This window comes from Homo sapiens, chromosome 15, assembly GCF_000001405.40.
Source record: "Homo sapiens chromosome 15, GRCh38.p14 Primary Assembly".
In the NCBI taxonomy this organism is placed as follows: Eukaryota; Metazoa; Chordata; class Mammalia; order Primates; family Hominidae; genus Homo; species Homo sapiens.
Genome location: NC_000015.10, coordinates 41,674,501 through 41,686,639, shown reverse-complemented (window position 1 = coordinate 41,686,639; position 12,139 = coordinate 41,674,501). Strand labels below are relative to the sequence as shown.

The window sequence follows — 12,139 nt, the reverse complement described above, 5'->3', positions numbered from 1 at the left end:
TGATAAAGAGCACTACACAAAAACTACACCCAACATGCTATAAAAAATACAGAATGAGTTTCTCTAAGATCAGGAGACATGAATGACCACTCAAAAAAAAAATTTTTTTTTTAAGACAGCATCTCACTCTGTTGCCCATGCAGTGGTACAACCATGGCTCACTGCAACCTCAACCTCCCAGGCTCAACTCAAGCAATCCTCCCACCTCAGCCTCTCAAGTAGCTGGGCCTACAGGTGTGTGCCACCATGCCCAGCTAATTATTTTTTTAAGTTTTTATAGAGATGGGGGTGAGCTGGGTGGGTGTCACTATGTTTCCAGGGCTGCTTTCAAGCTCCTGGGCTCAAGTGATCCTCCTACCTCGGCCTCCCAAAGTGCTGGAATTAAAGGCGTGAGCCACCACACCCTGCCTCAAAATTTATTTTCAACACAGTACTGGGAGTCCAAGCAATGCAATAAAGCAAGAGAGAGAACAGGCATAAAGATTGGAAAGAAGATGTAAAACTAAATTTGTTCACAGGTAACACTGTACATGTAGAAAATTTCTAAAGGACTCTATAAATTAGTAAAACTCAGCTGGATTTCTATATACTATCAAAAAATTGGGAAATTATTATTATTATTTTTTTTTTTTTTTGAGACAGAGTCTCACTCTGTCACCCAGGCTGGAGTGCAGTGGCACGATCTCGGCTCCCTGCAAGCTCCGCCTCCCGGGTACACGCCATTCTCCTGCCTCAGCCTCCTGAGTAGCTGGGACTACAGGTGCCCGCAACCACACCCAGCTAATTTCTTTTTGTATTTTTAGTAGAGACGGGGTTTCACCGTGTTAGCCAGGATGGTCTCCATCTCCTGACCTCATGATCCTCCTGATCCTCCCGCCTCGGCCTCCCAAAGTGCTGGAATTACAAGCATGAGCCACCACGTCCAGCCAAAACTGGAAAATTATTTTAAATGCCAATTACAAGGATCATTTTTTAAAGCACCTAGGAATAAGTTTAATTAAAGACTGAAAAGAATGAATTATGGTTGAGATAAACTAAACAAGATCTAAATAAACAGAGATATATACCTTGTTTAACAGAATATTCAATGATGTCAAGATATCAAGTCTTTTCAACTGGATCTATTATTCAAGGCAATTCCAGCGGGTTTTTTCACAGAAACTGAAAAGCTGACTCAAAATTTATGTGGAAATACAAAGAACCCAGGACAACCAAAATAATGGGGGGTTCAAAGGCTTACCTTACCAGATTCTAAGACTTATTATAAATCTACTACCATTAAGACAGCACGGTATTGCCCAAAATAATAGAAAACATAGACAAATAAATCAATGAAACAGAATTTAGTATAAAATAAACCTACCTGTGCGCATATAGTCAGCTGATTTTCCTAAGCAACAATGCAACTTAATGGAGAAAATTATTTTCAATAAGTGATGCTAGAGCACCTAGCCATCTGCATGGAAAAATACGAACCCTGACCCTTCACAGCATGTACAAAAATTATTAATAATTCAAGACAGATCACAGAATTAAATGTGAAAACCAAAACAACTTCCCCCTTTCAAACATTTCACTTAACTGGTGAAAACAGCTCTCTCTTTATCAATTTTTTTAAAACTTTACTGTATAAGTTACATAATATAAAAGCCACCCACATTTTAAGTGTTAACTCAATAATTTTTAATAAATGTATAGTTATTAGCCATTACCAAAATCCAGTTTCCCTTTATCTGTTTTTAAAGATTAAGCAAGCAAAAACTACAGAAAAGCCACAAGCCAATCAATTTCCATAATCAAGCCCACTCTTTTCCCTTTCCCAGTTATCTCAGTTCTTATGTATATCACATATAAATGACATTCTATATCAAGTAATTTAAGATTAATGCTTAAATAACTTGCTATTTTTCTCTCGATATCTTCACATTTCAAGACATAACTCTCATAATGTAGAAAAAAATTTTTTATCTTCTTTTCATTTAGCACACAACATGCATTTGTTCGCAGTAGCTGGGAAACCTCTGAGGCTAGATCTGGGCTGCTACTGCAATAACTGCTTTCACATCTTCCTGAGAAATTGAACTTGGTAAGTTATAAACACTCTCAGAAAGGATTTCTTCTATTTTCCAACAAAAACTTTATACATGATGAATGAAATCTTGCCTTGGGGAAAAAATTTCACAAACAGTTAAGTTTCATTCTTCTGAGAAGTCTCTTCTATCCAAATAAATTAGGCAAAAGAATACCTAGGCAAAATCAATGAATTACAAACAACAGTTAATTAAAAGGATTTTTTTTGTTGGCATTATGTAATCAATGCAACAAATAACACTACATATTAATGTGTGACGAACACCAGCCACTCTAAGACACATTAAGAAAGTTTTAAATACTCATGATAAAACTCATTCACTTAACATTTGCTGAGTGCCCAGTAATGCCAGACATTTTGTTAGGCACAGAGATTAACAAAGTAAATAAAGCACTGTCTCTACATTCAAGGAATTTACAGGCCAGTGCAGGAGACAGACAAGTAGACAATATGATGCAATTTAACAGATGCTATAATAAACATACATATAGGCAATAAGGGTGCACACAGGAAGAACCCATATTATAACGCCTTCCGTAAAACTGGTGCTTAGCATGCCGTATGTAACTAACCTGCACATCCTGCACATGTATCCAGGAACTTAAAATAAAATAAAAATAATTTTTTTTAAAAAAAGGAAAGGGAAAAAAAACAAAACTGGTGCTTAGGCCATGCACGGTGGGTCACGCCTGTAATCCCAGCAGTTTGTGAGGTCAAGACGGGCAGATTGCTTGAGCTCAGGAGTTCAAGACCAGCCTGGGCAACATGGCGAAACCCCATCTCTACAAAAATTACAAAAAATAATTAGCCAAGTGTTCATGCCTGTAGTCCCAACTACCTACCTATGGGGCTGATGTGGGATGATCACTTGACCCCAGGAGGTCAAGGCTGCAGTGAGCCAAGATCGCGCCACTGCACTCCAGCCTGGGTGACAAAGTGAGACCCTATCTCCAAAAAAAAAAAAAAAAAAATTGGGGATTCATTAATAGAACAAAGAACTAAGAAATCCACTGGAAAAGAGAAATGTAGAGTACAGAAGAAAATAAAAGAGCTCTTGGCAGGCTGAGGCACGAGGACTACTTGAGCCCAGGAGGCAGGGACCAACCTGGGAAACACAGTGAGACCTTGTATCTACAAAAAATAAAAATAAAAAATTAGCCAGGTGTGGTGGTGCACACCTGTAGTCAGTCCCAACTACTCAGGAGGCTGAGGTGAGAGGATCACTTGAGGAGACCAAGAGACCAAGCTTGCAGTGAGCCATGGATTGTGTCCCAGCACTCCAGCCTGGGTAACAAAGCAAAACCCTGTCTCAATTTAAAAAAATAAAGCACAGTACAAAGATGAGAACCACCACACCAAGGTTTATAACTGAAATTTCATAATATGAGGGATCAATAAAAGGTTCTGAAAGCAGAAGGGGGCAAGGTTACATTCAAATCACCAGAGCAAAACATGCCATCAAACTTCTCAACAGGAAACCGGGAGGCAACAACACATTTTCAAAGAACTCGTTACAGAAACAATTTTATAAAGTTTGAGAAGCAGAATAAAGCCAATTCCCAACACGTAAGAAGAAATTGAGGGGTGAAGAGAGATGAGGCTGGGAACTCTTTTCATCGTAAGTAATTTTACTTAAACATCTTAAAATTCTATGTTCTACAGATACTTTCTAAAGAAACTACTGAAAAATGAACTTCACAAAACAACAAAAACAACACAAACCAGTAAAGACAGCTTAAGATACAGGACACAAAAGAACGTACATGAGGCCGGGTGCAGTGGCTCACACTTGTAATCCCAGCACTTTGGGAGGCTGAGGCAGGAGGATCACTTGAGGTCAGGAGCTCAAGACCAGCCTGGCCAAAATGGTGAAACCCCATCTCTACCAAAACCACAAAAATTAGCCGGGCGTGGAAGCATGAGCCTGTAGTCCCAGCTACTTGGGAGGCTGAGGCAGGAGAATCCCTTGAACCCAGGTGGCAGAGGTTGCAGTGAGCCAAGATCACACCACTGCACTCCAGCCTGGGTGACAGAGCGAGATTCCATCTCAAAAAAATAAATAAATAAATAAAAAGAACCTATATGAAAATAGCAAATGTAAAGTTAGCAGGATGATAGCAAAGGAAAATCCCAAGATGGCAGCTTGGTAGGGGCCTAGAGTACAACCAGATCAGATTGGCAAAGGAGAATAAAGAGCTCCCGAAGAAGTATGCAGAGGAGGTACACACAAAAATTTACTTTCAATAGATGAATATGTGTATGCACATATATGTACGTGTGTGTGTATGTGTATGAATGAACCAAAAGATTTTATTAAATAATGTAGGTAGAAGGGGGGTGCAGTGGCTCACACCTATAATCCCAACACTTTGGGTGGCTGAGGCAGGCAGATCACCTGAGGTCAGGAGTTCGAGACCAGCCTAACCAACATGGAGAAACCTCATCTCTACTAAAAATACAAAATTAGCCGGGCATGGTGGCACATGCCTGTAATCCCAGCTACTCCGGAGGCTGAGGCAAGAGAATCGCTTGAACCTGGGAGGCAGCGGTTGCAGTAAGCCGAGATCGCACCATTGCACTCCAGCCTGGGCAATAAGAGCAAAACTCCATCTCGGAAAAACAAAAAAACAAATGTGGGTAGAATAAGCACCAGTACATATAAACTACAAATATATTTTTTAAAAAAGCAATAATTAACTACTACAAAACAAAGTTATAAAAGAAAATTAACTCATAGCATGACATTTGGCTCAGCAGTATAGAATATTTATCTCATAACATAAAAAAATGGATTATTTGGCCAAGCATGGTGCCTCACACCTGTAATCCCAGCACTTTGGGAGGCCAAGGCAGGAAGATCACTTCAGCACAGGAGTTCAAGACCAGCCTGGGAAACATGGTGAAATCCTATCTCTACAAAAATAAAAAAATTAACCAAGCGAGGAGGCACACACTTATAGTCTCAGCTACTCGGGAGGCTGAGGTGGGAGGATCACTTGAGCCTGGAAGGTTGAGGCTGCAGTGAACTGTGATCACCCACTACACTCCAGCCTGGGCAACCAAGTGAGACTCCGTCTCAAAAAGAAAGAAAAATTAGTTGACCAAAAATTATGATAATGACACTAACAGAATTAAAAAAAAAAAAAAACAGAGTATACTACAAGGATTTAAAAACAGTAACAACTAAACGGCCCATATATTGTACTAGAAAATAATTTTAAATGGATTACATGTAAAATTGATAATTATTTGGCATTATGCATATGACCTAGACAGAGGCAAATACCACAAGAAATAGCTAAAATGGAAAAACTAATTTCCTCTATAAAGAAAACTAGGGGGTGAAAAATGGTAAAGCCAAGTCACTACTATTTTTCATCATAAGTGGTTTTATTTAATCTTTTTACATTATGTATTATGTATTTGCTGTATAATGAGCTTGTCTGGTCTTTGTCCAGGGTTCCTGGTACAAAGCTTCTAAAATCTTTGGTATTTCCAGAGTGACAGAAGGGACTGTCATTCATGAACCCACTGGCTCACACCTGAGTTTAAGCTAATGACATGACCTGTAGTAGACCCCCTAAATAGATCCAGGATGGCACTGGTCTCCAAAAACAACAACACTGTGATTAAAGAACTGGGACTCTGAGCCAGCTCAACCTCTAGGGTGGGGAAAAGAACTGAAGATTAAGTTCAATCACAGATTTTGTCAATTACCCCTATGTAATGAACCCCCAAAATTTTGAATACCAAAGCTTAATAAAGCTTCCTGGCTGGTGAACACACTGATGTCCCAGAAGGGTGATGTACCCTATATGTTTCCATGGGGAGAGGGCATGGAAGCTCTGCATGTGAGACCCTCCCAGACCTTGTTCTTTACGTCTCATTAGGCTGGTCCTAACTTGTATTCTTTACAGCAAAATTCTAATTCTAAATACAGTGTTTTCCTGAGTTCTATGAGTCTAGTGAATTAGTGAACCTGAGAGAGATTGTGAGAATCTCAGGATTTGTAGCCAACTGGTGAAAAGTACAGGTGGCCTAGGATCTCCAGTTGTGGTTAATGTCTCAACTAGGTGCAGTCTTGTTGGGGACCATGCATTTCAACCTATGGAGACCAACTATGGGTTCTTATTCAATGCATCAGGGGGGGTTAAAACAGAATAGTACTATTTTTACTTAATTTTTTAAATTGTAAGGCAACTGTGTACCTCTGAAAAGTTAAGTAGATTAGTAACATTATTGAATTTCCTTTTAAAAATTATAATTCTGACAAGGGCAAAACTAGAAGAAAGAATGCTGCAACAACCTGAGCAATATACTCAAGAGACAGAGTAAGAAATGCATCAAAGTAAAGAACCAACAATGACTAGTTAGAAAAACGCCTTACCACAGAGGTGGAATACAGTAGGACCATGGTCAGGCAGTTACCATCATAAAGCTATACCAATTAAAACAATGTGATTTGGGCCTTACGTGTAGACAAACTGATCAAGGGAAGAAAACAGTGTCCAAGAATATACACACACGTACACAATCATCTGAGTAACCCCAACGGTCAATAAATAATACAAAAAGGTGTTCAACTTTGCTAATCACTAGAAAAAGACAAACTACAACCATAATGCTCCCACTTTTGCCACTATTTGCCACCTACTACTGAAAGTCCTATTTAGAGCAATTAGACAAGAAAAAGAAAAAAAAACATATTCAAATTGTCAAGGAGTTTGTAAAGATATCTCTTTTAATAGATGGTGCAATCTTATATAGAGAAACTTTCAAAAACCCACATATACACACAAAAAAAACGCACTCAGTCCCCCCCACAACACAACACACACACACAAGCCACTCACTTAATAAACAATTCAGCAAAGTTGAAGGATACAAACTCAACACACAAAAATCAATTGTATTTCTACACAATGAACAATATGCAATACAAAACAGCAATGGGCAATATAAAAAGAAAAGGAAATCACTCAATATATAATAGCATCAAAAAGAATAAAATACTTAGGAATAGATTTAACTAAGAAAGCAAAACACTTTTACATTGAAAACCATAAAAGCATTATTGAAAAAAATTAAAATGGAAAGATATCCCATGTTCATGAATAGGAAGACAACCCAAAGTGTTGAACGAATTCAACAAAATCCTTATCAAAATCCCAACGGGATTTTTCAGAAGTAGAAAATGAAACCTCGGCCCAGCGCGGTGGCTCATGCCTATAATCCCTGTAATCCCAGCACTTTGGGAGGCCAAGGCGGGCGGATCACAAGGTCAGGGGTTTAAGACCAGCCTGGCCAATATGGTGAAACCCCATCTCCACTAAAAATACAAAAAATTAGCCGGGCACAGTGGTGCGCACCTGTAGTCCCAGCTACTCAGGAGGCTGACACAGGAGAATTGCTTAAACACAGGAGGCGGAGGTTGCAGCGAGCCGAGATCACACCACTGCATTCCAGCCTGGGAAACAGAGCAAGACTCAGTCTCAAAAAAGAAAAAGAAAAGAAAATGGAATCTCAAGGGGCTTTAAATAGCAAAAACAATTTTGAAAAATAAGAACAAAGTTGGTGGTCTCACACTGCCCAATTTGAAAATGTCTAGTAATCAAAATAATGTGACACTGGCATAAAGATAAACATAAACATATAGGCGAACAGAATACAGAGAGCTGAGAAATCAATCTGCACATATGTGGGCAATTGATTTTCAACAGGTGCAAAGACCATTCAATGGGAAAAGGACAGTCTTTTCATTTTGTGGTTTTTTTTTTTTTTGAGATGGAGTCTTGCTCTGCTGCCCAGGCTGGAGGACAGTGGTGCAATCTCAGCTCACTGCAACCTCCGCCTCCCGGGTTCAAGCGATTCTCCTGCCTCAGCCTCCTGAGTAGCTGGGACTACAGGTGTGCGCCACCATGCCCGGATAATTTTTTTTGTATTTTTAGTAGAGACAGGGTTTCACTATGTTGGCCACACTGGTCCCCAACTTCTGACCTCGTGATCCGCCCGCCTCAGCCTCCCAAAGTGCTGGGATTACAGGCATGAGCCACAGCACCCGGCCAGGACAGTCTTTTCAATGAATGGTGACGGGAAACTGGATACACACATGCAAAAGAATGAAGCTGAAGCCTTACCTTACACCACTAATAAAAACACTCCGGCGTGGTGGCTCATGCCTGTAATCCCAACACTTTGGGAGGCTGAGGCGGGCAGATCACTTGAGGTCAGGAGTTCGACACCAGCCTAGCCAACACAGCCAAACCTCATCTCTACTAAAAATACAAAAATTAGCTGGGCATGGTGGCCAGCGCCTGTAATCCCAGCTACTCAGGAGGCTGAGGCAGGAGAATCGCTTGAACCTGGGAGGCACAGGTTGCAGTGAGTCGAGATCACACCACTGCACTCCAGCCTGGGTGACAGAGCAAGACTCTGTCTCAAAAAAAAAAAAAAAAAATTCAAAATTGATTGCAGACCTAAACTTAAGAGGTAAAACTATAAAACTCTTAGTAAGAAACATAAGGGAAACTCTTTCTAATGTTAGATTTGGCAATGGTTTCTTAAGCATAACATCAAAAGCACAGGTAAGAGAATAAAGAATAGGAAAATTGTACTTCATTAAAATTAAAAACTTGTGCATCAAAACACACTATATAAGAATGAAAAGACAACCCACAGAATGAGAGAAAAGATTTGCAAATCATTTATCTAATGGATTAATATCCAAAATATATAAAGAACTCCTGCATCTCAATAACAAAATAACGACTCAATTTTTAAATGGGCAAAGCACTTGAATAAACATTTCTCCTTATACAAATGGTAAATAAATGTGAAAAAATGCCTATCATAACATGTTAATCATTAGGGAAATGCAAATTAAAAACAACGAGCTATCCCTTCATACCCATTAAGATGGCTATTATTAAAAACAGTTAAGTGCTGGCCAGGATAAGCAGAAATTAGAACACTTGTGCACTGTTGATGGGAATATAGAGTGGTTCAGTCACTTTGGAAAACAGTATTGCGGTTCCTCAAAAAATTAAAAATAGAATTACCATATGATCCAGCAATTCTACTTCTAGGTATATACCCGAAAGAATTCATTGGCCAGGTGCAGTGGCTCACTCCTGTAATCCAGCACTTGAGAGGCTGAGGTGGCTGGATCACCTGAGGTCAGGAGTTCGAAACCAGCCTGGCCAACATGGCGAAACCCCACCTCTAATAAAAATACAAAAATTAGCTGGGTGCGGTGGCACGTGCCTGTAATCGCAGCTACTCTGGAGGCTAGGGTGGGAGGATCGCTTGGACACAGGAGGCAGAGGTTGCTGTGAGCCAAGATCACACCTCTGCAATCCTGCCTGGGGGCGACAGAGCGAGACTCAATCTCCAAAAAAAAAGAATTCGTAACTCCATTATTCACAATAGAAAAAAGGTAGAAGCTATCCAAGTGTCCACCAACAGATAAATGAGATAAGGCCAAAGAGATCAGGCAAGTGGCCTTTAAGTGCAATGGAAAGCCACTGAAGAATTTTAAGAGGGAACATAATCCCCGTAAGTCATATTTTTCAAAGATCCTTCTGTCTACCAAATAGAGCATGGGATTTTGGGGGGGAAAGCAGCTGGGAAACCAGGTAGATGTTATGCAGTGGGGATGGTATTTTGGACAATAAAGATGATACAAAAATCAGCAGGCTCATGTACTATGGGTAGGGATATAAATGGTTATAACCTTTTAGAATATAATTTAGCAATTAATTAAAATTTAAAATCTTGATCTAGGCAATTCCATTCCTAAGAATTAATCACTGTATTTGCAAAAGTATATAAAAAATGTGTGTAAGAAATTTTACTGAAGCATTATTTGTAGTGGCTAAAAAAACTAAAACAATTTCAAGGTCCATCAACACAGAACTGATTAAATACATCTTATAGATACTAATACACCCCTTAAAAATGCCTGCCATAGAATGTACAATGTTGAGAAAAAAAACCAGGATTCTAGATTGTGGGAACAGTATTTTTGTAAAACTGTTCATATTTGTCTAATATTGACATTTGTGAATTAATTCTTGTTTTAAATATATCAAACCAGGCCAGGCACGGTGGCTCACGCCTGTAATCCCGGCACTTGGGGAGGCCAAGGCGGGCAGATCATGAGACCGGCCTGGCCAACGTAGTGAAATCTCTACATAAAATTAGCCAGGTTTGGTGGCGGGTGCCTGAAATCCCAGCTACTCGGGAGGCTGAGGCAGGAGAATCACTTGAACCCAGGACATGGAGGTTGCAGTGAGCCAAGATTGCACCACTGGACTCCAGCTGGCACAACAGTGCGAGACTTCGTCTCAAAAAAAAAAAAATCAAACCAGAGTGACTCTCTCTATAATAATGTCATTCTCACTCACTTGCATTCTGATGAGCTTTCTTGTGAGAAAAATATATGTGCCAGAAACTCCAGGTGCACCCATGGTAGTGTGCAATCAACTAACCAAACAGAAAAACATCTGAAAACTATGTCACACATGGAAAAGCTGAATGATCTGTGCTTAGGTTGGAATTATGTAAAACCTAAGATCCATAATGCAGGAATTTGTTTTATTTGGTACTTAGAAAAGTACCTGAAACTAAAAGGTATTCTGTTACACTTAGTGAATGACTGAATAAAAGATAACAGAAATCATAAAGGAGTATAATTTTTTCCCAAATGTTTGAAGGTCACGTAAAAGAGGGTATGAATTGATTTTGCCCTCTACAGCTATAATTTTTTTAAAAAGAAGAAATAGGTAAACATACAAAAGGGGATGGCAAAGATGAATTTCTACTTACAGGAAATAAGCAGTCATCCATTAATGGAATTAGAAGCCTCTAAAGAGCCGGGCACAGTGGCTCACTCCCGTAATCCCAACAATTTCAGAGGCTGAGGTAGGAGGATCCTTGTAGCCAGGAGTTTGAGACGAGCCTGGCCAACATAGCAAGATCCCATTTCTACATAAATCTTTTTTAAAAATTAACTGGGCGTGGTGGTGCATGCCTGTAGTCCCAGCTACTAGGGAGGCTGAGACAGCAGGATCAGTAAAGCCCAAGAGGTCAAGGCTACATCAAGCCATGAACCTGCCACTGCACTCCAGCCTGGGAAACAAACAGCAAGATCCTGACTCAAAAAAAAAGAAAGGGGAAAAAAAAAAGCAGCAATAGCCTCTAAAGATAGTGAAACCAGAATAGCTAAAAACAAAAAAGACAATACCACATGTGCTAACAAAGATGTAGAAGTAACAGGAAGTCTCATCATACATTTTTGGTGGAAGTATAAGCTGGTATGATCCTTTTGGAAAATTCTGGCAGTGTCTACTAAAAGTATGCCTACTGTATGACCCAGCAATTCTCCTCCTAGACATGTAACAAAAAGAAACTAGTGCGTATGTCCACCAAAGACACGTGTAAGAAAGTTCGTACTAGTTTTATTCATAACAGTCAAAAACTAGAAACAATCCAAATATACATCAATAGGAGAATAACTTAACAGATTTATGTAAGGAGGCAAAAACAATGCAGAGGTTTCCGATTTGAATGACTATCATAGCTAATGCAAAAAAAAGGGGAGGATTTAAAGTAAAAAGAAAAATTCAGCTGGAATTCTCTATAATAATGAACATTTTGATCTAGAGGTCTGGAACTAAGAAGAGAGACAAATAAGCTAGAAACATCAGTGGCTTTAAAAATATTCACTATTGGCCGGGCGCCGTGGCTCACGCCTGTAATCCCAACACTTTGGGAGGCCAAGGCGGGCGGATCAAGAGGTCAAGAGATCGAGACCATCCTGACCAACATGGTGAAACCCCGTCTCTACTAAAAATACAAAAAATAGTTGGCTGTGGTGGCATGCGTCTATAGTCCCAACTACTCAGGAGGCTGAGGCAGGAGAATCACTTGAACCCAGGAGGCGGAGGTTGCAGTGAGCCCAGATCACGCCACTACGTTTCAGCCTGGGTGACACAGCAAGACTCTGTCTAAAAAAAAAAATAAAAATAAAAATAAGAATAATCACTA

The 12,139-nt window shown here is 39.7% G+C and overlaps 1 protein-coding gene across 54 annotated transcripts in view; it reads right to left on the bottom strand.

The window, feature by feature from the left end:
• Positions 1-12,139, bottom strand: part of MGA (MAX dimerization protein MGA) — a 148,717-nt gene that overhangs the window by 83,301 nt on the left and 53,277 nt on the right. For 5 of the 54 annotated variants that reach the window (NM_001400246.1, NM_001400247.1, NM_001400243.1 and 2 more), the window contains exon 3: positions 11,534-12,099. The exons of the other annotated variants lie outside the window; for them this stretch is intronic. In NM_001400246.1, the coding sequence (NP_001387175.1) occupies position 12,099 (1 nt within the window). In that variant the 3' untranslated portion in view covers positions 11,534-12,098. Of the gene's footprint in view, positions 1-11,533; positions 12,100-12,139 lie in introns of those variants that run through there. 54 annotated transcript variants of the gene reach the window in all.